At 36.8% G+C, this 27,366-nt stretch overlaps 1 protein-coding gene across 3 annotated transcripts in view, besides 3 other annotated features; it reads right to left on the bottom strand.

Annotated features, from left to right (window-relative positions):
• The window catches only part of ASXL3 (ASXL transcriptional regulator 3), a 172,977-nt gene extending 152,264 nt beyond the window's left edge, over nt 1–20,713 (bottom strand). For 2 of the 3 annotated variants that reach the window (XM_005258356.2, NM_030632.3), the window contains exon 1: nt 20,247–20,713. In XM_005258356.2, coding sequence (XP_005258413.1) covers nt 20,247–20,300 — 54 coding nt within the window. In that variant the 5' untranslated portion in view covers nt 20,301–20,713. Of the gene's footprint in view, nt 1–159; nt 5,650–20,246 lie in introns of those variants that run through there. The other variant, XM_011526205.3, reaches the window with a different exon arrangement.
• Nucleotides 13,218–13,929: an enhancer, noted in NCBI's record as "OCT4-NANOG hESC enhancer chr18:31164967-31165678 (GRCh37/hg19 assembly coordinates)". NCBI's record gives its function as "activates a minimal SCP1, AML or CMV promoter by ChIP-STARR-seq in naive H9 embryonic stem cells {active_cell/tissue: H9 hESC(naive)}" and the evidence as "EXISTENCE:reporter gene assay evidence [ECO:0000049][PMID:30033119]".
• Nucleotides 19,397–20,384: an enhancer, noted in NCBI's record as "H3K27ac-H3K4me1 hESC enhancer chr18:31158512-31159499 (GRCh37/hg19 assembly coordinates)". NCBI's record gives its function as "activates a minimal SCP1, AML or CMV promoter by ChIP-STARR-seq in naive and primed H9 embryonic stem cells {active_cell/tissue: H9 hESC(naive and primed)}" and the evidence as "EXISTENCE:reporter gene assay evidence [ECO:0000049][PMID:30033119]".
• Nucleotides 20,385–21,373: an enhancer, noted in NCBI's record as "H3K27ac-H3K4me1 hESC enhancer chr18:31157523-31158511 (GRCh37/hg19 assembly coordinates)". NCBI's record gives its function as "activates a minimal SCP1, AML or CMV promoter by ChIP-STARR-seq in primed H9 embryonic stem cells {active_cell/tissue: H9 hESC(primed)}" and the evidence as "EXISTENCE:reporter gene assay evidence [ECO:0000049][PMID:30033119]".

Here is a 27,366-nt window from a genome sequence, read left to right as displayed (position 1 = left end):
AGATGAATTAATGAAGATACAAAGGAGTTAATTTAATTTGCCCAGTGTTACACAGCTAGAAAGTGGGAGAACAAAGATCTGAACCCAGGCCTTTGGACAACTGCTCTCCTGTTCTCCATGATTATCCCCATGGTTATCCACAATACCTCCTGGTCATACCTGCAGATTCTTACAGTGTCTTGTCATCGAGGTTCATATGTCATCATTTCTTATCCCAGATAACTTATCTCATGTAACTTTTCTTATCACATCTCCTTGAAAGAAACTTGCACTAGTTTAAAAGAGACTAATCCAGTGAAATGCTTCAAAAATGAGAAATCATGCCCGATGATAAAGTTGCTGTGACTTTGATCTTGAACATTGTCCCAATTTTATGGCAGTTAAAATGTAGAGGCAGACATTAGTTAACTCTCATTAGCTGAATGAAAGAAACATGAGTTTGTCAGAGCAGATAAACGCTTTCTTATTTCTAAACTAAGAGAAGTGTCTCACATAGACATTTTTATACAGAGGCACTGGGGGGCAATGGACAATATTTACAAGGAGGGCTAAGTAAAAGCAAACATGGGACATATAATAAGTTTTGTTATAGAACCTCCCATAAAAATCTAAACATAACACAAAAATATAAATGAGAATATTAGATGAAATAATTAAAGTAGACAATCTTCCCAAGATCTAATATGATTAAATCAAGATTAGATACTCTAACAATTTGGGGTTTATATTTTACTACTACTAGTATAGATAGATATATAACAACTCTGAAAACAATATTTGCAGATGTAGGATTAATACAATATTATGAAAATTAAGGTGCTTAGTGTATATTTTTGCCTACATATGAATACTAAACACCTGTCCTTATGGAAACAGACAACAGGGATACCCAGCATTCCCTGCAGGATAACGTGAAGAGCAGCAATCAGTCAAGACCCTAAAGTTTTAAATCTTGGGAATCCATATAAGATGCTAGTGTTAATAAGAGCAGCTAATACATAATGCTAGAAAGCATTTCGTAATCAAAATAGGCTAGGCATTTTTCTAAGAACTTGACTTATGTTAAGACATTTAATTTCACAATCACTCAGGTAGATTTGTTTTGTTTGTTTTTTGTTTTTTTTGTTTTTTTTTTTTTGTAGATGAGAGAACTGAGACACCAATACATTAATTCACTTTTAATTCACTTATACCAGGTTATTCCCAGGTAAGAAGCAGAACTGGGATTCAAATCCATGCCTCCTTGTCCAAGTGTTTCACCATCACAATATACTGCCTTGTATCAAATGGTAAAATCTCACTTGGAGGATAATTTAACAGTACTATTACAATGTAAAAGGTAGGCAGTCTCACTTACTGAACTTCATCTACCTTTAGGTATTTTTCTTACAAAAATTCACAGCCTATCCTGCATGTACAATGAAGCATTATATGAGATTATGACTCCAAAATAATGAGACGTAGTCTAAGAGGGAGATGGTTAAATAAATGAAGGTACATACATACCATAAAATAATAGAAATAATAAGGTAAGAAATAAGAAAATATGTACTGACATGGGAGGATGTCCATGAGAAAGTGGTAAGTAAAAATAAACATGTTGAAGAACAATACATAGAGAGGACGCATATATTCCAGTGTCTGTGGTGTACATATACATGTACACCACAAAGTCCCACCCACATCCCCGCCATATAAAAATATTAGCGTTAATAATTGTAATCCTGGAGACTCTACATATTATGTAATTTATATGACTTATGCATGTATTATATAAGTTATATAGTTGTTAACAGCTGATTTAAAAGTCAGCTCAAGGCTAGGCGCAGTGGGTCACGTCTGTAATCCTAGCACACTGGGAGGCCAAGGCGGGCAGATCGCTCGAGCTCAGGAGTTCGAGATCAGCCTGGTCAACATGGTGAAACCCTGGTCTCTACAAAAAGATAAAAAAATTAGCCAAGCGTGGTGGCACGTGCTAGTCCTAGCTACTTAGGAGGCTAAGGTGGAAGGATCTTTTGAGTCTGAGAGGTGGAGATTGCAGTGAGCCAAGATCATGCCACTGCACTCCAGCCTGGGTAACAGAGCCAGACCCTGTCTCAAAATGAGTAAATGAATGAATGAATGAAACAGAGAGAGAAAGAAGGTCAGCTCAAAAACAAAACAAATATGAATACTCAACCAATAACAGAAACAGTTACATGCCTTATACTGTAATCATAGTGAAGAAAATAAAATACAGGAAGACTGAAATTTTTCCAAAGCAAACATTACTCATCATTCAATCTGAGTCAGAAAAATTATTCAATGTTATTCCCACAAACTAGTCTGAAATGACACAGCATCCAGATGTATCTGCCAGAAGAAATTAGTTGTAAAATATATCTTTAGATAATCGTATAAAATGACTTTGTTATATGAAATTATTTGATTCTGCCTACTTAAATGTTGAATAACAATGATGTTTATTTTGTCACAGTTAATAGTAATTCTTTTCTCCTGACTATAGATGGACACCACCACCACCACCTCAATAATCCATTCAGTTAACAAATATTTACCAAGCACACACATACACTAAAATGAAATACAATAAAATTTGCCATTACCATTGCTGGAGACATTTACTCTCTGGCTTACTACAGTGGGGGAAGGGAGGGTGGCAAGCATTTAATTTACTTAGAAATAGATTTAAAATGAAAGGAAGGAACTAAGCTATATGTCTTCTTTCATATTCATTCAAAATGCTAATCTACTCTACATAGAAATGACCGCTGCCTACCCTGTTTCTAGTGGTGGTTTTATAATTCAGATTCTATGGAATTGTTATCTTGATATGTGTTTGCTGCTATATTTCCAGTAACTAGCACATGTAGGTGTGTAATACTTGCCTAATGAAAAAAAAAAGAAGACAATGAATTGACAAGAAAGAATTGATGTACTCAGTTTATTATTCCCTACTTCCTTCTTCCAAAGAATGCCCTTTCTCATTTTGATTTGAATGGAAGCTGTTACATTCCTGAAGCTGACATATCCCTGTCATATTCCTTCAGGAAGAAACAACTCCTGAAGAGCTTCCTATTAAGGATGGGAAGGAGGGATGGCTGGAGTTGGGGACACAGGGAGAGCCAATCATTAATCTTCTCCAGGATGTACAACCCTAAAACTCAAGAAAACACATCTTGATTACTTTCTGGTAATGATACTATGTGAGGAGAGCCTGAGATTTGCTGGAAGCTATGTTCGTAGGCATGTGAGCCAGGCTCAGAAAATAAGCATACTCTGCAGAGAGAGGATGGGAGAGTCCTAGTTACTTTCATTCTTACTTTCCAAGTATTACCTAGAACCTCCCATTTTGCTGCAATGGCTTCTAACTTATGAGTCTTCCAATAAACTCTCCTTTTCATTAAATTGGTTAGATGACCAAAGTTTCATGACCAATGTGTTCATTATACTAATTATTGAGCCTATAGTTGATTCCTTTCATAGGATATTTTAAAAAGATACAGGATATATAATAAATGCTTTTAAGTCAGATGCTAACTTATCTCCTTCCTTTAGATTAACAGAAAGATAGCAATTTCTAAAACCTCATCACTGGCAATGCAAACTCTTAATAAACAAAAATTCTGAGAAGCAGGGTGTATTTCTTTGTTAAATATGCACTTGACCCATCCAGAAGTAATATCTAAAAAAATAAACATTTTACAACAATGGGAGTCCACGGGCAAAGTTATAAATAATTCTAGCGGTAAAAGTTATTTACCTAGAACTTTGATGAGTAATAGGTGAAGAAATTCCTGATTCCAAGGCTTCAAAAATAGGACTAACATTTTAAAAATATGAAGCAGGTATCCTAAGAGTTTAGAGTTTAGACCACAGGCTTTCTACAGACCAGTAGACTTAAGCAAAATGTGTGTTCCTGTTTCCAATTTGAGTCATGCATAAATATTTACCATAATGGTTTATACTACAAACCAACTCAAAGAACTCCCAGCCTGATTTACTATACTCAATTATGATGTAATTAAAATATCTGCATCAAGATTTGTGCTAAATAGGCCAGGCATGGTGGTTCATGCCTGTAATCCCAGCACTTTGGGAGGCCAAGATGGGAGGATCACTTGAGGTCAGGAGTATGAGAGACCAGCCTGGTCAACATAGTGAGACCCCATTTATATATATATAAATTAAGATTTATGCTAAACGAATTCAGGGCAAATATTTCTACATGCTTCTTGATGTACTACCTACCTTAATATTACCCCAGTTTTCCAACCCTCCCCAGTTTACTCCTCATTTCTGGTCTTGTTTCTTAAACTATGTGCTAGAGGAATTAAGGTATATTTATAAGCAAGCAGGACTGGTTTCAATCAGCCAATGTTTGTTGCTATGAAATAGGGGTTGGATCTCTTTGAGAAGTCAATGGAATATTAAAACTTGCCTTTGCCAACAAAAGATTCTGCATGAAATCAGATAGTCCCTGTTGCTTCCTAGCCTTCCTTAGTCCTGATTTTACAAGCTGAGTTCTGCTTACAACCAGGTTGGGAGCTCATTATACTGTAATATCACATTTTGATGACAGAACGAAGAAAAATTATTAACTTTCATGTGATCAAAATACCCATCCCTTTGAAAAAAGAAATACAAAGTAAGAGTTACCTTTAGCCAACCCTAAATTAGGACTCACAACAAGTCTTACTTAGATTTTTCCCAGAGGTTGCCATTCAGCATTATTAAATTTTGCCTAAAGATAAATTAGGCCAGATGTTGTTCTCTTATATTCGGTCAACTGCAGACAGTAGGATTTAAGCCCACAAGGAATCCGTCTTCTCAATGCAAGCTATCTACAGAAAAAGTTTTGAGAGTGTTGTTAATTACCCCTGCATTCAGGTTTAAAAGATAACTATGCCTGCCATCAGGTATGGAGGACATATAATAATACAAACATCTGGATAATCTGTAGGTGTTCCAGTAATAGGGGATATAAATGTAAAATATCTTTTATTTTATGGGAAATTAAAACAAAAAGATGGGAGATTTTGTTTTGTGACCTTAGCAATTCAGAGGTAGCCTCACCTATAATAATATTTCAGTGGCTGCATACCCATATATAGGCTGAAAATTTTAAAGATAAAGGAATTTGCTGTGAAAATCAATGTCTCCTGCAGATAAATTATGCCATAAACAAAATACAATTTAATATGTAAGCAACTGTGTATTTACAACTTAATCCCTGTTTGTGAGAAGGATTGGGAAAAACCTCCTGGTTCTGAGGTTTTAATTTACAGCATGAAACAGATATGGCTGAATATCAGTAAGTTGAAGGACTGGACAAACGTCGCTCGTCTGGTTTAAGATGCATGTGGTCAACACATTCCTTGTGGTATGAAAGTCTGCGGGCTTTCAAGACCAGTTTTCTTCATTTTTCCCCCTTTTCCTACATGAAGGGGTTGGGCTCAATGGGGAATCTGTGAGCTGCCAGGAGTTTCTGCATGGGATATCTAAGGAAGAGTGGAAACTGGTGGGAAACAGCCCGAGGGTAACTGAGCCCTCAATGGATGGGAAACATAGACTGGAATCTCTGAGACAGACAGGCTGGGAAATATAATCTGCTGGTGGGGGTACTTCTCTCCCAGCACTGCCCTAGGCCAAAAAAAAAAAAAAAAAAAAAAAGGTGGGCATAGGGGGAGAAAGAAAAGAAAAGAAATAAAGAAAGAAAGAAGTATTGTTACAGTGTCTGCTTTCCCCTTCTCAGTGGTGTGGAAATCTGGCCATACCTTTTCAATGAAACACAATTTGTCTCAACTTGGGAACCTGAACTCATTTAAAATGTCCAGGTGCCCTTTCTCTATCTTTTCAACAATCTTGGAATTCAATTCCTTGTTTACAACGATTGTTCTACTCTCTCTGGTTAAAAAACTTTCCTCCTCAGTAGACAAGTGGGAGAAAAGGCAGTTATTTTGTAAGGCAAAAATATAAACAAGATTATCTTAAGACGGAATACAAAAAGATTTCCCTTGTAATGAAAAATTTTTTACTGGTTTTACAAGTTTAAAATAACAAAATATAAATACTGGAAAGGAAGATTTTACAAATCAATTTAATGTAATGGAGAAGGAAAAAAACACAAAAGAACTTAACCTTGTTTTCCTAACAGATCTCTGAAGCATGTAATTATATATTTTAGTGCCTCATAAACAAAAGTAAAGGTGGGCCTGGAATAAAAACACCTGTTTTTCTTATAAAGATTGACTCTGTCAGGATAGGCAGAGATATGCAACAGTAAAAATCAACCCCAAAATCTCAGCAGATTGAAACAAATGCTTATTTCTCACTAACATCTACATTTCCAGACAAGAACCAACTTAACTGAAATTCCATCTTGTCACCGGCTTCTGCGATCAATACAACCAGAAAAGAAATAAAGTGAATAAAATAGTGACCCTCAAAAGCTGCAAGTGAGAGGTAACAAAACAAAAACGGTTATGCCTAATTCAAGGCAGCAAAGAAGTATGATGCCACCACATGTCCCTAAGGAGGAAAAATGAAAAAACTGTCCATCAACCTAATGCTTATGAGGTAATATCTACTTGCTCATGTATTAAAGACAGAGAAAGATTTTTATTTAAATAACTTAAAGACTTTTTTCTTTGTAGATTCTATTTAATATAAACATGTACATACAAACACACATGAAAAAACTTCAAACACTGTTTTATTAAAGTCCTATTATTTGTTTCCCCATCACCCATTTCTCTAGATGATACCTTTCATGTGCTTAGATTTGCTTTCCCCATCTGAACTGCCTACGACTAGCACCTAGCACCAAGAAGATAAAAGATAAAATTTCATACAAAGATAGGAGAGGGTAGACTCCCCTGATTAAGGATTTCATTCTCCACTAAAGCTTTTAACTAAAGGAAAAATGTGTTTAACTTTCATGAGTTCATTTCCTACTATGAAGTTGAGCTCAGAAAATAGTGAATTCCAAAAAAAAAAATAAGTAGTGTTGCCTGTAATCCCAGCACTTTGGGAGGCTGAGGCAGGCGGATCACGAGGTCAGGAGATCGAGACCATCCTGGCTAACATGGTGAAACCCCATCTCTACTAAAAATACAAAAAAGTAGCTGGGCGTGGTGGTGGTCACCTGTAGTCCCAGCTACTTGGGAGGCTGAGGCAACAGAAGGGTGTGAACCCAGGAGGCAGAGCTTGCAGTGAGCCGAGATCGCGCCACTGCACTCCAGCCTGGGCGACAGAGAAAGACTTCGTTTAAAAAAGAAAAAAAAAAAAAAAGTAGTGTCATTAGAAGATCGAAAGGAAATGCAATATCTAGATTTATGCATTCATTTTTCTTTTTCCTGCTGACAGTCCATCTATTCCTATTTAGTTACTGGAACTTGGTTTGTAAACAGAGCATTAGCAAAAAATGACAAAGAAATAAAAATTGGAGAAAGGATGAGAATAGGAGATAATATTTTTGTTTATATTCAATAGCATGTTTCTTTTTCTCATTCGCTCACTAAAGATCCTGGTGGATCCAGACTAAATGTGTATTCTCTTTAAATAGTAGCAACTCTGCCCAGGACAGAGCATGAAAAACATCAATTCTCAGAACCATCCACTTTCCAAGCTGAAAAAGTAGAGATAAATTTCCACAAAGCTAAGTAAAATGTGTTAAAAAGAGGGAGAAGGAGAGAAAAAAAATTTCTGAAACACTATATTTGATTCATTTGGGCTCTAGGAAAGGAGAAATGTTGTCAAATGAATAAACAGCAAATGGCAGCAATAAGACTGTGATGTCCATAAATTCCTACATGAAATAAGGAATCATTATCTGATGCTGACCTAATCTCAATATTCAGAAAATGAGTGAAGATTCATTCCATGGAGAAGAAACATTTGTTCTCTTCGGTAAGTTAATATCATCTAAGGATTATGATCAATAAAGGTTCTTCTTGGGCATTTTAGACAGTGAATAAAAATATTTACTTTCATCCAGAAGGTACCTGGAAGCTTCACGAAGAAATGTATATTTTAGTGTGTTAAGATCTAAATAGTACTTGGATCCTAAATTGTGTCAAACTATCTTATAAATATTATATATAGACTATTCCTATATAACCATAAAGAAACTAGTCTGTGGGGGAAAATAGAACAGAAATCATCCATGGTAACTTCTAGCTTCTAAATCAGGAAAGTAGGTTTCAGTAGAAACAGACCAAAGAGATATTTAGGTTCTTTGTAATGGATGCCTGAGCTTTAACATATATTTAGTGTAAAATAAATATTATAAAAATAATAACAGAAGTAATGAATGAAGAGTACCTACATTAGAACACTTAAGGTCTAAAGTCAGGCAGACCCAGACTGGAAACAGTCCTCCACAACTTACTAGCTAAGCAAGTTAATTCACCGTCTATATAGCAAAGGCAATGTCATTTATAATTTGTTTTTCCAGCATACTTTCCATCTGCCTTTTATTGGTGCTTTTTTGTAATTTTCCTCCTCTCTACATGATCCTTGTGTAGCAATCAATCGTGATACCTGATCTTGGCAATTGCTGTTGGTGCAGGAATGGGCATATCAGCCAAGCAAGGATAAAGTAAAATCTTCTTTGGCATTAGCACTTAAAAAATAAGAGAGAGATATGGCCTGGGGAGGGGAAAAGAGACTGAGATTGTCTTTAGGCTGTCGTGGCTAAGGTTGGACAACACACGTAGGTTGTGCCAGTGGCCATCTTACCTTGTCCAATACCTAAATAGAATCCTGCCTACACCATGAAGCCAAGAAAAAAACAAAGCAAAAAAAAAAAAAAAAAAACATAGAAAGCAAATACCTTGACGACATTCTCTAAGTCCCTACCTCACCTAGAACTGAAGTTCATTCCTGGATTTCTCAGTTATGTGAGCCTTTTTCCTTAAACTAATTTGAGTTAAATTTGTTTCACTTGTAACCGGGAGAAACTCAACTAATACACACTCTAAATCTCAATTTCTTCATTTGACAAATGTGAATAATATTATAAAATGTCTCCTAAGCTTACTCACAGGATTAAGCAATATAATGCATATAACAAGTTTAGTTCAGCATGAAGCACATAAGTACCCAATCATTATTAGTTCTTATTGCTATTTTTATTAATTAGTGATAAAGGTATTACTGTCCTTTAGTAATAATTTTATTATGATTGATATACTAAGGTTATTCCATCATATAAAATTCCTATACTCTTAAAAGGAGGCTATGACACTAAGTTTAAGAATAGTTTACTAGCACATATAAAGGAGATTATTTACTTTGCAAACATTTCCAATCTGTGTTGTAATCAATGTACTAGACAATAGTTATCTTGATATGAAAGTCAGAGCAAGCCTTTTTTCTCTCACTATATCCTGTTCTTTTCTTTTACTGTGCCCTTTCTTCAATCACCCCTTCAAGGTAATGCCGTCTATTTCCTACAGTACTTAGACTCAAAGCGGGTACCATGAACCAGTTTCACTTTTAAATAAGTGATTATAAATGCAAAAAGAATCATTCTCAGTGAAGGCAAGTCTAGAGTCAGTGAAACAAATTACAAAGTTGTTGCAGGAACTTCATAAGATGGAAGCTACCAAATACTAACATTAACTGGCATCTTATAACGTCAGACACAAAACTACGCTACACACATTATCTTATTTAAATATTGCAACCACTCTTTACGGTAGATATTATTATTCCTTTATTAAACAATAGAAATAAAATTGAGAGATGTTATGTAACTTTCTCAAGGTCAAACACATAGTAAGTGGCAGACTTTGGACTCAAACTCAAATCTGCCTGACTCTTAGGACCATCATTAATCTACACTGTCTCCATAACCCATATAACAGCCTGAATTAAGGTAAATGACAGTGGAAATGGATGTATAACTATAGTATTTAAAAACAAGGATCTGAAGAGTAGAAGAAAAAAGATGAAGGTGGCAGAAGTCAGTGATTTACTGGGTATAAGAAAAAAATATAAGAATGTATAACACTGACAAGAGGGTTTGTGGCTTGAACAAATGTGGAAATGGTGGTGGCTTTACTGGGAAATGAAAGAAAGGAGGAGAAGACTTGATGGGAGTGGGAAAGAGATAAGGCATTCAGCTTTAATGTTGTGGACTTCATTGTTGCTATGAAAATGCAAATGGAGATATTTCACTACAGGAGTTGAAGGGGCCATATATACTTTATCATCGCTCTCTGGCACCTAAGGTACAGACATGGGACCTAGAGTCTGCCAATTTGATTCTCCTGAATGTGTATTTTAATCTTCAACATGGGGTGCAAAGACAGCAAATTACGAGACTATTCATGACACACTGGGAACAATGGCAGTGTCTCATGCAATAAGCATGGAGTCATGGTGGTGACTATTACTGATGATATTAGTGCCCACAGCAATATTCCAACTAGGCTATTCTTGAAGCATGACCTTGTCTATGTGTTTTCACTGCCCAGCCTCTATTGATCCCTATTTATCAGGCCTCATTCTCCAGATCCTTTTTGATTATATGAAATACTTTATGACCTCCAAAAAAAAAAAAAACCTGCTCCTTTTCTACTTAAATTAGGAGGAGTTGTGTTCTGTTGCTTGCAGTCCATAATTCTGAATAATAAAACCAATACATTCAGCACTGCATCATGTACAGGATTAAGGGAGTCCTTTCCCCATTGTTCTTGTATCATCCCCAACCCATAAGCTAGATAACGATCTGCTAGATGTTAAGGGAAATCTTAAAATACTTCAAATAATTCATAGACTAACAGTGATAAAATGCAATCAATAGGTTATAAACCACAGCATGATCCACATTTTAAAGCAAATATATATATATACACACACATACACACTAAGTAGAATAAAGATAAATCCACCCATAAACATTAAGACAGACTATTAAAACTGTACAACTTCAAAAATAAAGAGAACATGTAGCAACTATCAGATATAAAATGTATATTATACCTCTTTAAGAATAACAATTTAACTCATGGACATGACAAATGAACATTTCCAAAGTACTAAGGATAAAAAATAATCAGCCGACTTTTATAACTAGCTAAATTATCATTCAAAGGTGAGGGTAATATGAGATCTTTTTGTTTTTTCCTACTAAGTTTCTCCTTTTTTTTTTAATTGTAATCTACAAATTCAGCGGATACTGCTTCAAAAGGGTGGCTTTTAATTATTTTTGTACCCAATCTTGACTGTATTCAGATTCAATTTTTTGAGGATAGTAAGGATTTCAGGAGAGAGTAAGAATGACAGGGAGAAGATATGTGACCATCTATTCATCCTTTTATTTTCTAACTTTTACAACTTCATGTGAGTCTGTATCTCAAAGTTAAAAAGTTTAATTAAAACATATTTTTAAAGGTGAAGGCAAAACAAAAACATTTCACCATACAAAAACTAAGAATATTTGCTATCCAAAGACTTTCACATAAAAATTATAAAGCTGTGAAAAGCAATTTAGAAAGAGGGAGCGTGATATAAGAAAGTTGAACAGAGAAGTTGATTAAATAAGCTGATAAATGTAATCAATTAACTAATGTCAAAAATAACTAGTTTGATGTGTTTTAAAAGAAAATAACATAAATCTAAGGCTGTAGAAATTGCTACAAGATTGCAGGGGTTGTGTGGTGTATAACAAATAAAACATGCTAAATTCTGCATATGATTAGAAAATTCAATGATATATCACTTTAAAACAGTGTTGTCAGTTTTGAAAAGGGCTTCTTACGGCCTGGGGTACTTTTGGTTAAAGGTAATCACAAACGTTTTAAACAGGAATGATTCAGTAAAATTGTATCTGTTCTTGAAAAATAACTACAGCTTCAGTAAGATTTGGAAAAGAGGTTAGAGACACAACTATTTGGAAGGTCAGAACTAAGTAAGATGTAGTGAATGAATAGAGGAGGAGTTAAATGTGAGCTATACTCGGAAGACAGACTCTACCACTTTCTCTGGACACCATGTGCTTAGGGACACATAGATAATCCCCTAATAGACAGGAACACTGTCACATTCTTCTTTGCCCAATGCATGACACAATTGTTGAAAGTATCCAATAAATGTTTAAATGAACTGGATAAATTTCATTTGAAATATCCACAATACATGAAGACAGACAAAAGGAATTATTAACAAAATTCTAAAATTCAGGGGAAAGATCAGGGCTGACATCCTCATCAGAGAAGACTTGACATTGGGCTAGGCAAGCTGGCCAAGGGTGTGGGGCGACGAGAATAAAGAGGAGGGGGAGGAAACATCCTGAAATACACCAACACTAAAGGGGCAACTGAGAGAAGGGGACACTCAAGTGAGCAGGAAAGAGTTAAAAGTGATGGAAAGAGAAATGAAGCTATCAAGAAATCTGATTTTTAAAAATTAATTAAATCTCTAAGATTTACAAATGAGAGAGACAAGAAATGAAGAAGAAAAATATTACAACAATTTCTAACTGCAAGGTTTTGAAGACATAATACTTTAAAAAAAAAGGAAGGCAATTTTCTTATATATACTTGTTAAAATAAGGGTTTATTTGTTGTGTGCACATTTGGGGTGGTGGTGGGGGTGGAGGGTCACAAAGAGTCCTGATGTTCCAGACAGTGACTTAGTTCTGGGGCTATGTCAACAAGGATTTGATGTATGTAAAGATTACATATGTAGTAATTTATTTTGACATTAAAAAAATGGAGAATAAACAACAGCCTCACTGTATCATGACTCTCTATGACCGAGCTGGAAAACAAACCCAAAGATCCAATTTCAGTTTCTATTTACTGAAATTTATTAAAATAGGTTCTAATACATTATGGTTAATAGTATCTTAGAAATGCCATTCACCTTCTGAATAAAGAATGGTCCATCCTATTGCCTTCTATAAGTCATAAATAATTATGATTGACTTTGATTTTTTTAAATCAACAGATGCATAAAGAATAATGGAATACGTGTACTTGCCAAAAATACCAATTGTGCAATTGTTTTAAAAAATCATAATCTAGTTTTCTCTGGACTAATTTATGCTACATCTATGCAAAATAAAGCAATAATAATTGTATCATAAATTAGACATGCATATATTTAGGAAAATCTTACAATTCCTAAGCCTGTCCACTGAGTCTAAATTGCACCGCCTTGGAGAATTCCTCAGATTCTAAAAGTTCCTCCAAAGCTAAGGCCTTGGATGTCATTTAAGTTATATATTTCAGATATTAAAGGCAATGTTCTGACAAGCCCTTTGGCGCTAACCCCAGGGCATAAATTTGCCTTAAAACTACGTAAGAATGTGTCAGAGGGCTATATGTCAATCAACCAGGAGACCTGCCTATTCCCAATTTAGTGTTGTCAGTTGCTGACATTAAAACCAGCAACAGTTAATTGTTACTACTTCAAGTGGGAATACTGAGGGAAGAGGAGAGGTAGGTGTCTAAATTCAGACTGATAAAGCTGTTAATTGCTACTCCTTTTTGTAGATTTGTTTAATAATGAAAACAACGTGGTTAATCATATAATGTTTCTATTTGTTCCCCAAGGGCTCTTCAGGGAAAGTTTCCGTCAGGGCTAGATTTTGGCAGCTACCAACTGTGCAGGGACAAAAGCAGAACAATCAAGGCACTCAGTGCTGGCAAATAGCTGAAAGTGGTTGTATACAGATGCCCCTCCTCCTGGCCCTATCAGGAAGGAGCCAGGATCTGCCACTGATGAGCTTTAAAGGAAAAGTTTAAAATGTAAAAGAAGATAATAATTTCAAGCAGAATGTCAGAAGGAAAAGAGGGAAGGAAGGAGGAAGACAGAGTGAGAGGAAGGGACTGAGGGAGGAGAATACATATGTAGGCAATCCAAAAGGCAGGGAATAAGTATGACATAGGCTTGGGCCCTCCCTACGCTTCCATGTAACAGATCAATTAAATTCACATCACTTTAAACACCCATATTGTTTTTTTAAAAAATGACAAGTTACATAGAAAAAAAAAAGTATACACACACACATACAGACACACATACACACACACACATATATACACAACATATAAATATAAAATGTGTATGTGTATGTGTGTGCATGCACAGACACACATACATATATATTGTCCCAGCCTTGCTTTTATAGACAGGATGATGATATTGGGTGTATCATTAAACCACTCTCAGAGACAGTTACTGGGATAGTCCTAGCTACTGACTAATCTCAAGAGGGTATTTTAGGGAACAGAGTGCTCTATGTAAGTCTTATACAAATGTAATGTATATAATTTACTGATTTTTTTTTCACTTTGCCTCATTTGGTAAAGAACATGAGACAGAATTAAATTGTATCATTTAATTTGTTTTCAGATTCTTTAGTATCAAGTAATGAAAACATTCAGAAACAGCTTCAGACCACTCACTGGTGCACCCCCCATCACTGTACAAATACATATCGTAAGACTTATGACATAAGTGATATTCATTTTGTTTTGTGCTTCTTTGTGTGTGCAAGGAGAATAGGGGGTGAGTCTTTAATTCCCTTTCTATTACCACCTAACTACAACAGCCCCATAGTAAAACTCACTGAATATGAAAATGGCTTTAAATCCCTCCCCAATCTGATCGCAATTACATTTTCAATTCTGTCCCAGTGCCTATGCCCCCCCAAGTCTTCTGGTATTTCTAGATTCCTCCACTCATCACCCCCTGAACCTATCCTCTTGCCTGCACCTCACCTCTGTCCATGTCGTTCTCTCTTCTTAGAAGGCTCTCTCTTCACCTGCTTAAACTTACTCATATTTCAAGGCCAAACCAAGTTTCACCTAATCCATTGAGCATTCCACAATCACCACATACCACATAGCTTTTCCCTTCTGTAAATCTGTAAATGAGCACCTGCTTGATCACTCATGTGTCACCTACAGATGGTGTCAGCTCAGTCATCCTCCACTTTTTCTTGTTCCTCTACCAAACTTTATACTGCTTAAGGATGTATCTTTGTATCCTCAACAGCATCTGAATCATATACATAGGAGCCTACAAAGTGTTTAGGGGCCATATTTCACTTTTCCAGTGCATTTCATTGAAGTTTAAAAATTATTACATTATTAAATGTTGAATTCAATTCCTCTATCAGTTAACTTTTCTGTGGTGAAATTCCCTTCCAGGTACAACTCTACAAGTCTAAAAGCCACAGTACACCAAGAAAATAGTTCATTTCTGGCATCTAAGAAATCATCTGTTACTCATGAATTTGTCAAAAAAATAGAAAAACTTAATGTCGGCAGGAAATAAAAAATTAACAACCTAAACACCAGGTCTAAGTTCACATTACTCATTCTTTCAAGTACATTTTTATCCAGCTTGAAACTCATTTTCTTTCTAAATAGGCATAGAGATCATTAAACTCTTTTTTATCTTTCAAACTGTAAAACAGAAATTTAGGTTCCATGTTTGAAAGAAAAGGTGATGAGATATAGATATAAAGAAATGATGCTATGTGCAGACCACAGAAAAGAGCTGAATCAAACCAACTGAAATTTTAGTGATTAAAAATAAAACTACATTTGCAAAACTATATTAGCCAGGCTCATGATCCAACTACATTGTCAGTTATGCTCTTGTGTACCTTTGGAGTGACCCAAATCACACGTCAAAATTCTTCAACTCTTAAGAATACCTGATTATAACCTGAAATCAAAGTACCATTAACACAGTGAGAAAATGTCAAAGGCAGTACACACGCCCTCCCCTATCACCATGCTTATCACTCCTAAAAAATTATATTTATTTCCCAAATACAAAGACAAAAGGCAAGGCAACCAGTAAATTACACAATTATGAATTGCTTTTTAAAAATTTTAACAGCTACAATACCATTCAGCTTTATTTTATAGAAATCCTAACAGTTTATTTAGAATGTAATGTATTGCATAAATAAATCCTAACAGTTTATTTAGAATGTAATGCATAATATTTCCTCTATTAATTTAAGGAAATCTGTGTGAATCTTTTGTTCAGTGTAGATTAATTTTTAACACAATATGATTTACCAAATTTTAATTTACTTAAAACCTTCAGTAACCCTGCTGTGTCGTAAAAGGTTATGTGCCTGTTTTCTTCCAACAATGAGGTGAATTTGTCATTAAAAAATTTTTACCCAAAGGTCACCTTGAACTACCAAGAAAACACACACACACACACACACACACACACACACACAGAAAAAAACCAACCAACAAACTGATGTTCATTATCTGTGTGCATGTATCTAAACTACAAGTAAATAAATCAGCCATGTTACCAAGCACAAAGCTATTGAAATAGTTAAGATTTATTTTCAGGTGTCACTGAGACTAAACAAAGATTGTAAGGAATAAAATAAAAGGAAACTCAGGGAACAAATTAATACATTAAACTATTATCTTAAAAGCAGCATTCCCTATAGAACAAAGTGATGAAGATATCAAAAAGCACTTCTCAAAGCAATATTTTTGCATGTCAAAAAAAGAATTAACCTAGAATAAATATATAAATAACAGTATGTTCTGTGTTAAGCCAGTAACAAAGAAACCCCTTAGTGCTGTAAAACAAAGTCCTGTCAAATCCCCATTTTTTACAAAGAAGCATGAAGATCGTTTCACAATGGTTTAAACTGTATTTATAGTAACAGAATGAAGACTTGAGATAAAAGTCAGAAGGATTAAAGTCAAAGCCCCAGCTCGACATGAGTTATGGTTTTGATTTTTATTCTTATTGTGGTCTACAAATATTAAGACAGAAGATACTTCCATGTGATTGTGGGATCCTCTGAGACTCTACAACCTTAGAAGAGCAGATAAAACAGATGAAAATGCATCTGGTTTGGGAGCAGACTCCATATTAAATGGCAATGCGCAAAGTAACACAACTACAACTGCAGAAGGCTGTGGGGGAGGGGAGGAGGCTAAAGCCTGAAATTTCTGCAACTGATGCAGGGCAGAAGAAAAAAGAAGGGGAAAAAAAGATGTGGTATTACTGTTTTAAAATGGCAGCCTGTTAATAATCACTGCATTCCTGAAAACACAGGCAAATTGTACCACCATTCCTTCTTTCATACACTAAGCAAGCCTAACACATACAAGCATTACACACTTCTTTGAGGAAAATGATACAGCTTGATAGCTGCATCTGTATCTAAAACAAAATCCCTAAAGTTGCCACTCCAGAGTTTACAAATTTGGAGACCATATACTTTTTCTCACAAAGAAAGAAAATAGAAATTCTGTTGTGAACTGGAAAGTCTTAGTTACACTAGAAAGATTCTTCTTCCACATATATTTTTCTTTAAGTGAAGGCAAAGCCACATTTATACATAAGCTTTTGGTCATGGTTCAAAATATCTATTTTGCATTTCCTCTCCCCTGATGTCCTATCTTTCAAGAAAATCACACACACACACACACACACACACACACTCACTCCAGCAAGAAAGATATATATAACATATTCTGCATGAATTGGAAGATCATTCTTAACGTTAATTTGAGTACTCTCTCTTTAGTTCATTTATTGCAAAAACCACATATTGAGTTATATATTTTCTATCCATCCTGAATCTTTACTTTTAAAATCAGGCACCTCATTTAATATTTGATGAAGAAAAGGCTAAAGTCCCTAACAACAACAGCAAAATCATCAGAAGCATTGTGTAATATGAAATGATAGTATCTATATCACAGAAATGCTTAAAAACTTTTTTTAATTGAGAGTTAAGAAATACTATCAATTATAAAAGTAAAAATATTTTATCATGCAAGTTTAGAAGAGAATTCAAGTCCATATGTATTCACGTAATCATAAAGAAAATATGAAAATTAACCAAATATTAATTTGGTTAATGGTGACCAGTTATCACCGTTAACCAAATGGATCAATTTCTCCTTTCTTCACAAAATAAGAATTAGATAAGTCACTTATACAAATCATAAATTTCTGAAAATTATATTTCCAGTACGATTCCTTGCAATTTTATTCAGTATTTGATTTTAACTGGCACATTTTGAATACATACACATTTATACAACTACCAGGGGAAAAATAACTTAAACCAAATTGAAAAATTACCATAACTACTAGTTCAATATGTCTGGTTAAAATAGAGACATCTGGTCTATCGTTCTTTTGTGTTGATGACTCCTAGTGTGTCTTTTCCCATCAACGAACTTTTCGAGAGGAAAATCCAACTTTTAACAAAAACCTGTGACTTAGAAATCTCTTTCAAATTATATCAATACAGATATATCATTATTAGATCAAATAAAACACAGTACCTTCAAGAATAGTAACATATACTGATTGAATACAAATGGCTAGCTTTAAATTCCATCAGAGTAATGTTATTTATTAAATAATTCTCTGCAGGCAGATATGGCTAATTCATGACTTATTATTTTTAAATATTTATAAATCAACTCATTGTTCACTTGCTTAAAATATACACTAAAGCTCTCTAATAGTACTTGATTGCCACTCCACGGAACCTGAATAATGCATTTTCAGAAGCCTTGCACATCCCCACACAATTCTGAATTAATGGCCGAGCAAACAATAAGTAATGTACTATGCTCCAGCAAAAACTCATTGACAACATCAATCTGGCATCTACTTAACACTTACTGCTTACTTCTCACATATTCCCCACAACTTAAGTTTCCTCTTCCAGATGCAGTTCATTAAAGAATCACTATCACCTGCCCATTCATCCACAGAGTGAGAGATTTAGCGATTAACGCAATCACAGATAAGTGGAGAAATAACATACAACACTACAAAATTAAGAGATTAAGTAAAGGGACCTGGGCACTCCAGCTACCAATAACTAGATTGCAATTAAAAAGGACTTTGTCACTTCTTCGCTGGGCAATAGGGCCAATTATCTAAAACCCTTTGCTAGAATCCAGATACATACCAGAGCAAGGCCCTTCAACCAAACTCAGATAATTACTTTTGACAAATGTTCTCCTTGAGCATAATGTAGTTACTCAAATGCTTTTCAAAATGACTACAGTTACAGTAAAACAATCTTTACAAAGTCAACCCAATAACACGTCCTGCTCCCCCCTCCCAAAACCCCCGCTGCATGCAGTCTGCTTTCTTTTGGCCAATTTATAACAGATAGTAAGCTGGCGAATAAATGTTTAATTTATGCAGCCAAAACCCTGAAAGGCTTAGCTTCAAATGTAATGCCTGGCATTCCCGAGACACACTGTACAGAAATATCCTTTTGAAAAATCCTTTTACAGCTGTCCTTTAAAAGAAGATAGGAAGAAAAAAGAAAGAAAGAAAAGAAAAACCCACACATATACATGCATCAAACCAAAGACGCCGACGCCCCTCTGCCAACCGGCATTTCTATAGAGACATTCTTTCGATGATTAAAACGTAAGCTCCGAAAGGTTAAAGAAAAGGAAAAGCAGCCAAGTAACACCGCCCAGGAAGCCAGCAGTAAAATACACCTAGCTGTACACTCTTAATAACCTCCCACTACAAATGACACTGACCCAACTTCACCAAACACACACACACCCGAAACACACTCACAAATTGCACACACGTGCACAGAATGTACACACAAACATCGAGCAGAGCACAATACCTACAAACACAAACGAACTGGAGCCACACAAAACATGCACGTATCAGTGTGCACACATAATGCACACGACATGGCACACAGACACGCAACCACCTAGCCCACATGCACACGCCCCACAAGTCCGTGTCGGACACACACCATGCATGCACGTGTAAAATGTTTGAACTCACAAACGCCGAACATACACACAGACTGTGCACAGAGTTATTGATGAAATTCCGGGGGGTGGAGGGGCCGGGAGGGAGTGGTAATTGCCACACAAAGGTCTCCGGAGCGGCAGAGAGGGAAGTCGAGCTGCGCCGAGCGCTCGGAAATTCACCCGTGGAGAAGGCACAGCAGAGCCCCGAGAGCGAAGTACGGGGAGAAGTGTCCCGGGCGGTCCCGGACGCGGGGCTCCCGGAGATAATCGCTGCGCCCCTCCGCGCGCGCACGCACACACACAGGGGCCCCCGGGCGAGCCCACTCCCGCAGAATAACAAAGAGCAGGAGCCCGGCGAGCGGGCGGCGGCTCGGGCTGGAAGTGGCCGTCTCCGCCGCCGCGGACCGGCGCGGGGCGAGCGGCGGGGCCGGCGGGAGGCGCGGGCGGCGTGTGGGGGGCGGTACGTACCAGGCGGGCAGCCTCGGCCCAGGTGCGGTCCTTCTTCTTCCTCTTGTCTTTCATGTTTGCATCTCATTGATGGTTCTGATGATGACGTGGGGGATTCCACGGGGTGCTCGGGGTTCGGGCGCGGAGACAATGACCCAGTGACCCGGTGACCCGCACTCGCTCCGCGGGGGGAGGCGCGCGGGCGGTGGCGGCGGCGGCGGCGGCGGCGGCGGCGGCGGCGGCGGCGGGTGGGAGGGATGGAGCGAGGGGGTGGGGTGGAGTGGGTGGGGGCGCGCGACGGCGGCGGCGGCGGCGCGCGGCGGGCGGGCCGGGGGCGGGGGCGGCGGCAGCAGCGGGGCCCGGGCCAGGGGCGGGGGCGGCGCCGGCCGGGCTCGCTCGTGCGGGGCTCGCGCTGCGCCACCGCCGCGGCCGCTGCGGTGACAGCTCCGGGGATGCTCCGCTCGGCCCCGCTCACAACAATACACTCTGACGTCACGGGGAATGGCGACGCGGCCGCACACTCACCGCGCTCACACTCGCCGCGCTCACACTCGCCCTCTCGCGCGCGCACACCCGTGCACACTCGCCGCGCGCCCCCTACTCCAGCCACGCCCTGAAACCCTCGCGAGACCCCTCTCCCTCCAACTCAGCCCCCAAATTCCTGGGGCGCTGCCCACTCCGTGCAGGCCGTTCCACCCGCTTCCCGCTGTCCCGCTCAGGCCGAAAGCCGCGGACACGGTGGCCTTTGGAACTTGTGTAGGAGTCCGCCCCGCACCTCGACGCCTCTGTCCTGTGCGCTCACGCGTGCACACTCACTCACACACACACCGCACTACTCTCCTCTGTTGGACTGCCTTAACCCTGTCTCTGCTTGGCTGGGGGAACTCCCAGAGCCTTGTTGAAAGGGTACAGAGCCAGTGTCTTCGGATACAGAACTAATAATGTACGTGCAACTTAACACAATGTTGAACCACCTACAGCATCTCAAACAATGCAGGACCAAAGAGCCGTCACCGTGGATCCACGCGATGCCATACCGTAGGGCTAATTATATTTAAACAGCGTGTAGTCAACATTCTGTAGAGTAAAACATGATGCACATGGAAAAAACTGAAAAGCTAACGCTTGTGTATTTTTTAAATTATAATTTTCAGGTCTGGGATACATGAAGTGTTGGATTGTTATCCTTATTAGCGAACTACCAAAAAATATGTTAAGACTTAAAAGTTTATGGTAATCTTTCCAACTTCATACATCTCTAGTGAATTGTTTGGGTCAGTAGAGTTATTTAAGCAAAGAAAAAAATGACGCTGTGACCCACACAGTAATTATGTGTATTTGTCTTGAGTATCTGAAAACAAAAAGGTCACTTCTACTGGATTATTTTTCTGAAGTTATTTCCTGAATAGGATATTAATGGTATATAAATAGTACTTTGTGTTTTTTCATACACATTATATCGTTTGATCCCCAAAACAGCTCAGTTAAACATATATTTCCCCTCTACTGTACAAATGAGGAAATGAAACTCAAAAACATGACAATGTATCCAAGATATCTTGCTAAATCATTTTTAATAATTCAAGTCTTTTGACCCTAATCTCATGTTGTTTATTCAATTCTATACTGCCTGTTTAAAAATAGTCTTGTCTAAAAAATGAACACTTACATCTAATGAAGAGATTTATGTCTCAGAATGAGAACAATTATAGTAAGGTGATTCCTTTGAGAGCACTGTCAAATGATTGGAGTAATAAAAATGTTTGATTACCAAAAATTAAACAGAGACAGTTCATAATCATAAAGAGCTGCATATGATAATTCTTTTAGAATATTTGTTTTATTAATTCATTAGACTGAGAAAAGACTATGCATCAGTTTTAGAAAATATCAAAAGATTATCTGCACTTTTTCTTTTTTTAAAATGGATTTAGAGAACACGCTGAAGTTATCCCTAGGGGAAAATTTTATCCATGCAATTTGCATAATTCTATCCAGGTGTATTATATTTTTACTTTACATTTCAAATATATTAAATTTGAATCACGTTCACATCTGCTTTTATTTTCCAGAATTCTCTTTATGGCTAAAGTAATTGATATATTTTCAAAGTATTTTCATTCTAGTGTTTTTTCTTCTACTCAGAAATACCTATTTTAAGCAATCAGACATAACATATAATTTGTTATTTTCTGTGAAATAGTGCTTAATAAGGAGTTTTGGAGCCAGCTAAAGGAAAACATACATATTCAGTTATTTCACAGGAAGGCCAATTTCTGGTTATTAAGAGAAAATATATTGTCCTACTTAAGCAGATGTAAATTGATGTTTTAAAAAAAAAGCTATTGTTTATGCATTCATTCTCTGACAGAGAGCTAAGTATAAATAACCAATCTTATGAACTCACTCTTAGATTCTACCTCACCTTTTGGGTACTTGAATATAAATAGTCCATAGCAGGTAAGTCTGGTTAAAGACTTGGTGAATAGTCTATGTCAAATTAACATATTTTACAGAGCACCATTTCCAAGAGACCATTGTTAGACTTCTTTCTTCTACATTTACTTTGTGTCAGGGGGCAGGAAATAGATTAATCAATTACAGATGTTTTATAATTTGGTAAATTATATGAATAGCTTTTCAACATAAAGTGAAATACATTATAAGAAATGTACAAGTAAATTTCTGTGAAAATTAATGGGAGAAATAACTCTGCTGGGGAGATTAAATAAAGCTTTAGTAAAGAGAAGTTTTCAGGTGGGATTTGAGGAATGGGTAGGATTTGAATATTCACACTTGTAGGAATGGAGAAAAGCTTTTTCAAACACAAATGCAATAAAGGTCAGTCAGGACAATTGAAAACTAGGAAAATATTAAATTAGATAGATGACAACTACCAAGCACTGCTTACATTCAATTAAATTCATATCAGATCACATATATTTCAAGAACTCTTTTTTTAAATGAGTAGAGAGGAATAACTCAGAGAACAGGCTCCAGTTAGAATTGCCTATAAATCCTCCCTTTTCTGAATCCCCATCCCAATTATACAGTAATGGAGATCCCTCCAGAGTTCAATTGGCATGTAACAGCAGCTTCTCTGCATTCCACTGCTTTCTTCATTTCCATTCCTACTAATAGTTCTGAATTCAACAACTTAAACATTTGTGCATATCTCCTCTCAAGAATTCCAGCAGATTTTTTTCATTTCCTGTAATGTTTATTGCAACATGCTTAACAATCAATAGAAATAGGTATATAATCCAAAGAGGAAGAAATATTAATTTACATATGACAAAATAGAGGTGTTGGAAAATGGTTTACCGTACAAAATGGAGGTTTACTGGAAAATGGGCTAAGTTAATGTGAGGCTCCAAAAGCAAGAGAAGAGACACCTAAGGATTTGAGGACAGAAGTTGTTTGTTCATATCTGTGGTCCCTCAGGAGATACAAGCTTTTGCCATGGATCCTGGTCAAAGAGTTCACCAAATATGGGAAACTTTAGGTGTTTCAGGCAGGGATAGGGGGCTGGGATTCCTTCGGATTCAGACTCCTTGTGTACATGGCTACCATCCACGTGCCTGTTGAATGTTGTGTGAGGAAGTCTGGATTAAATAAAAACATCTTCCATTCCTCTCCAACAAAATCCCACCAGCGGGCACAACACAGAACAGGAGGTGGAGTGGGGAAGGAGTAATAAAAGATGAGGGGAGAGAATGGAAGCCAGGGTTGCAGGGGAGATGGAAGAGGTCTTTGTTGGTCTGATGGCCATGCCCCATGGGTTTTATTTTTGAAGTAAGTTTGTTTACTATGCATAAGCTTAGAATCTCTGAATTTTCAAATAATAACATTTAATAATTTTAGTTTTTCTAAACATCTTTTGTTAATGATCATTTAGAATCTGACTGGTCTGGAAAATCCATGAAGGTGAGCCCCTTATCTCCTTTGTCCACTGCTCAATTCACTAAATTTCAAGCAGTAAGCAAATTCCCTGTCATACTCTAAGGTGCAATAAATATTTACTGAATAAAAAATAAACCATTGGAAATAAAGGAAAATGATCCCTTTTGTTTTTAATACAATAAACGTCCAACAAATCAAGTTATAGTTTTATCATTTTACTCTTAGTATCATTTTTTCCTGTCCTATTTATAGTCCACTGAACAATTTAGGAGATATAAAGTAAAGTAAAATAAAGCCAAGTGTCACTATTATTCATTATGTGTAGTCAAGTATTACTGAGTGATGCTCCTAAGGGCAAATGAATTTTGACCTTGTCTTTTTATTTTTTTATTTTTATTTTTTTTTGAGACGGAGGCTCACTCTGTTGCCCTGGTTGGAGGCAGTGGCGCGATCTCGGCTCATTGCAAGCTCCGGGTCCGGGTTCACGCCATTCTCTCGTCTCAGCCTCCCAAGTAGCTGGGACTACAGGTCCCCGCCACCATGCCCGGCTAATTTTTTGTATTTTTAGTAGAGACAGGGTTTCACTCTGTTAGCCAGGATGGTCTCGATCTCCTGACCTCGTGATCTGCCTGCCTCGGCCTCCCAAAGTGCTGGGATTACAGGCGTGAGCCACCGTGCCCGGCCTGACCTTGTCTCTTTTATTCTACTCCTACATATCCTTAACTTTTTGAGTCCCTCATTATATCTATTTAAAGTCAGTTTTCCCATGAATATAAACAAATTAGCTTCACTTCAGGACATATAGAAGTCTTAAAAATATTATCCGAAAGTAAGATTATCTAAACTTGGGACGATTCTTCCACTACGACATGAGTAGGATAACTGTGATCATTTTGTTTTTACTTGCAATCTATAACAGTTTAATACTTTAAGATTTCAGCATATTTTAATTATGAAGATATGTGTAGCTATAAAGACAATTAAATTTTCATTTTCTTCAAAAATTTTCTTTAGGTGATTTTATTTATATTGTCAAAGCATATCATTAAAAAGATAAATTAGAGCTACTTTGAGACTCATTTTTAAATCTCTGGCCAATTTGTATTGTTTGTATATTTCAGTGCACTAGTTGAAACATAAAATTTTTCATCATATATCGAGACCCTTAGCAGCTAAAGTGTTCTTGAATCTGAGGAAAAATAGAATAAAGTAGCTAAAAATATTTCCATAGTTTTCTTTTTCACTTTCTTAAGTTGCTCTCTTTTCTGCTTTATCTTTCTCCTTTCTTTGTGCAATAACAAACTCTCCTTCTGAGTAGAGCCCTTCATTCAAGAATTTACCTTTTTCCCCTTTAAACCCTTAATTAGCCATAGAGAACACAGTCTGATTTATGGCCTAGCGTTTAACAGGACTCACACTTAATCCATTACACAAAGAGGGATACACATATTCCCTAACAGCACCACTCATTAGTTTATACAAGATGAAAAAAAAAAAACACTTAGCAAATGTAAATAAAGCGTTGCGTGATACTATCTTCTTATGCATATATAATGTGATCAGAATTTCAACATTGCAGTCTAACAGCTTTTTGCTTATTTTCAAAACTACAAATTAGATTTCTCTAGGTAAACTCTAATTCAATCCCACATTTAGTGGATAAGAAGGAAAATTACATGCTGCTAAATTTATCTTTATGTAGAAAGAATTTCTTAGTTCACAAAGAAGACTAGAATTCTGATTATAGTTACTGTCTCAGACATAATGGAATCCTGGTCATTTACTGATATGATGTTTCCCTCTGTTTTCATGTTTACCAAAAGAGTAAATTTTGTGATGGAGACCCCAAAAAAAGAACTTCAGAGGGATCATTAACAAGTAATTTATTCCAGTAATTTTGTACCTAACTGCTATTATAAGTTGTACAGTAAAACATATGAAGTATACCCCTTAGATAGTAACCTGATATTGGAATGTCCTCTCCTTTCTATGCATAGCACCAAAAGCTCAAAGGAAGATATAAAGCTATTCTGCAAGTTTTAAAAGGATGGATTGAAGTGATGGGGAGATAGGGCTCCTTTTGTAACTGAAGAATTCTTATTGCTTTCCCATTGAGTTTTATTGCAGGGGACACGGCTGATCATTTTAGCCAACACACTTCCAGTAACCATGGGGTGACATGATTGATTAGTTAAATAGCAGAAATAACTGGAAGATCTCTTAGGAGCCCATTGTGGCCAAGGAAATGTCATCCAATTGTCCATTGGCTTATGTGGGGAAAGAAAGAAAGGCAGGGGGGAGCACAGGAATTGCCAACCCCACTGAGGCCCACCTATTAATGAGTAAAGCAGTAGGACTATATTTAAGAAAAAAGAGAACAATGACTCTGCAGTGGCAGAAATCTGTTCAGCATTTTCATAGCCCCAGTGAGGCTGGGGGTGAGAACAGAGGTAAGCCTGTTTATCTTCTGTGTGGGAATAGAGAGATCCAGAAAAAGAGATTCTTGCTCACCCACTCTCCGTGACTTTCTACCACTCTATCACATTTAGGCAAGGTATCCCCAAGGAAAAGGATCAAAGATAGTTATGACATTTAGATGTCAAAATAATGAATCATGCATTTTAAGAATATCTGGATTGAGTTGCTGGTAGGAATTTTAATCAATGCGCATTTTTTAGCAGAAAATTCTTTTCTCTGGAGACCCTCCCTTTTTTAGGCCAAGAGGCGATTAACTCCATAGTAGATTGTCTAGATCACTTTTCTACCTAACCTATAATCATTTAGTTAATTTCTATTTTATAAAACTAATCTCCCCTTTCTGTTTGTGGGCTTATTGCTAAGTTCTCTATGTAGTCAAGGAGTGTTTCACTTTAATAAAATTTCTAAAGTTTGGAAAATTTTCTATTGTTTTTTACTGGAGGCATAATTAACATAAAATAAAAGGCATAGGTCTCAAATATTTGGTCTGATGACTTTTAATAATTGTATATTCCCTAGTAACTATCATCCAAAACAAGATACAGAGCATTTTCATCACCCCAAAATATTTCCTTATGCCATTTCCAGTCACTCCTCATGCCTTCAGAAACAACCACTCTCAGACTTCAATCACCATAGATAAGTTTGGCCTGTTAATAGTAATTTCCCCTATTGGTAGCTCCATCTATTTATTTTTGTAATGGTGTCAGGTGTATTTGATGAAGTCATATATATATATATATATATTTTTTTTTTCTTT

Source organism: Homo sapiens, chromosome 18 (genome assembly GCF_000001405.40).
Source record: "Homo sapiens chromosome 18, GRCh38.p14 Primary Assembly".
In the NCBI taxonomy this organism is placed as follows: domain Eukaryota; kingdom Metazoa; phylum Chordata; class Mammalia; order Primates; family Hominidae; genus Homo; species Homo sapiens.
The sequence above is the reverse complement of the archived record's forward strand: the minus strand, read 5'-3'. Positions and strand labels throughout refer to the sequence as shown.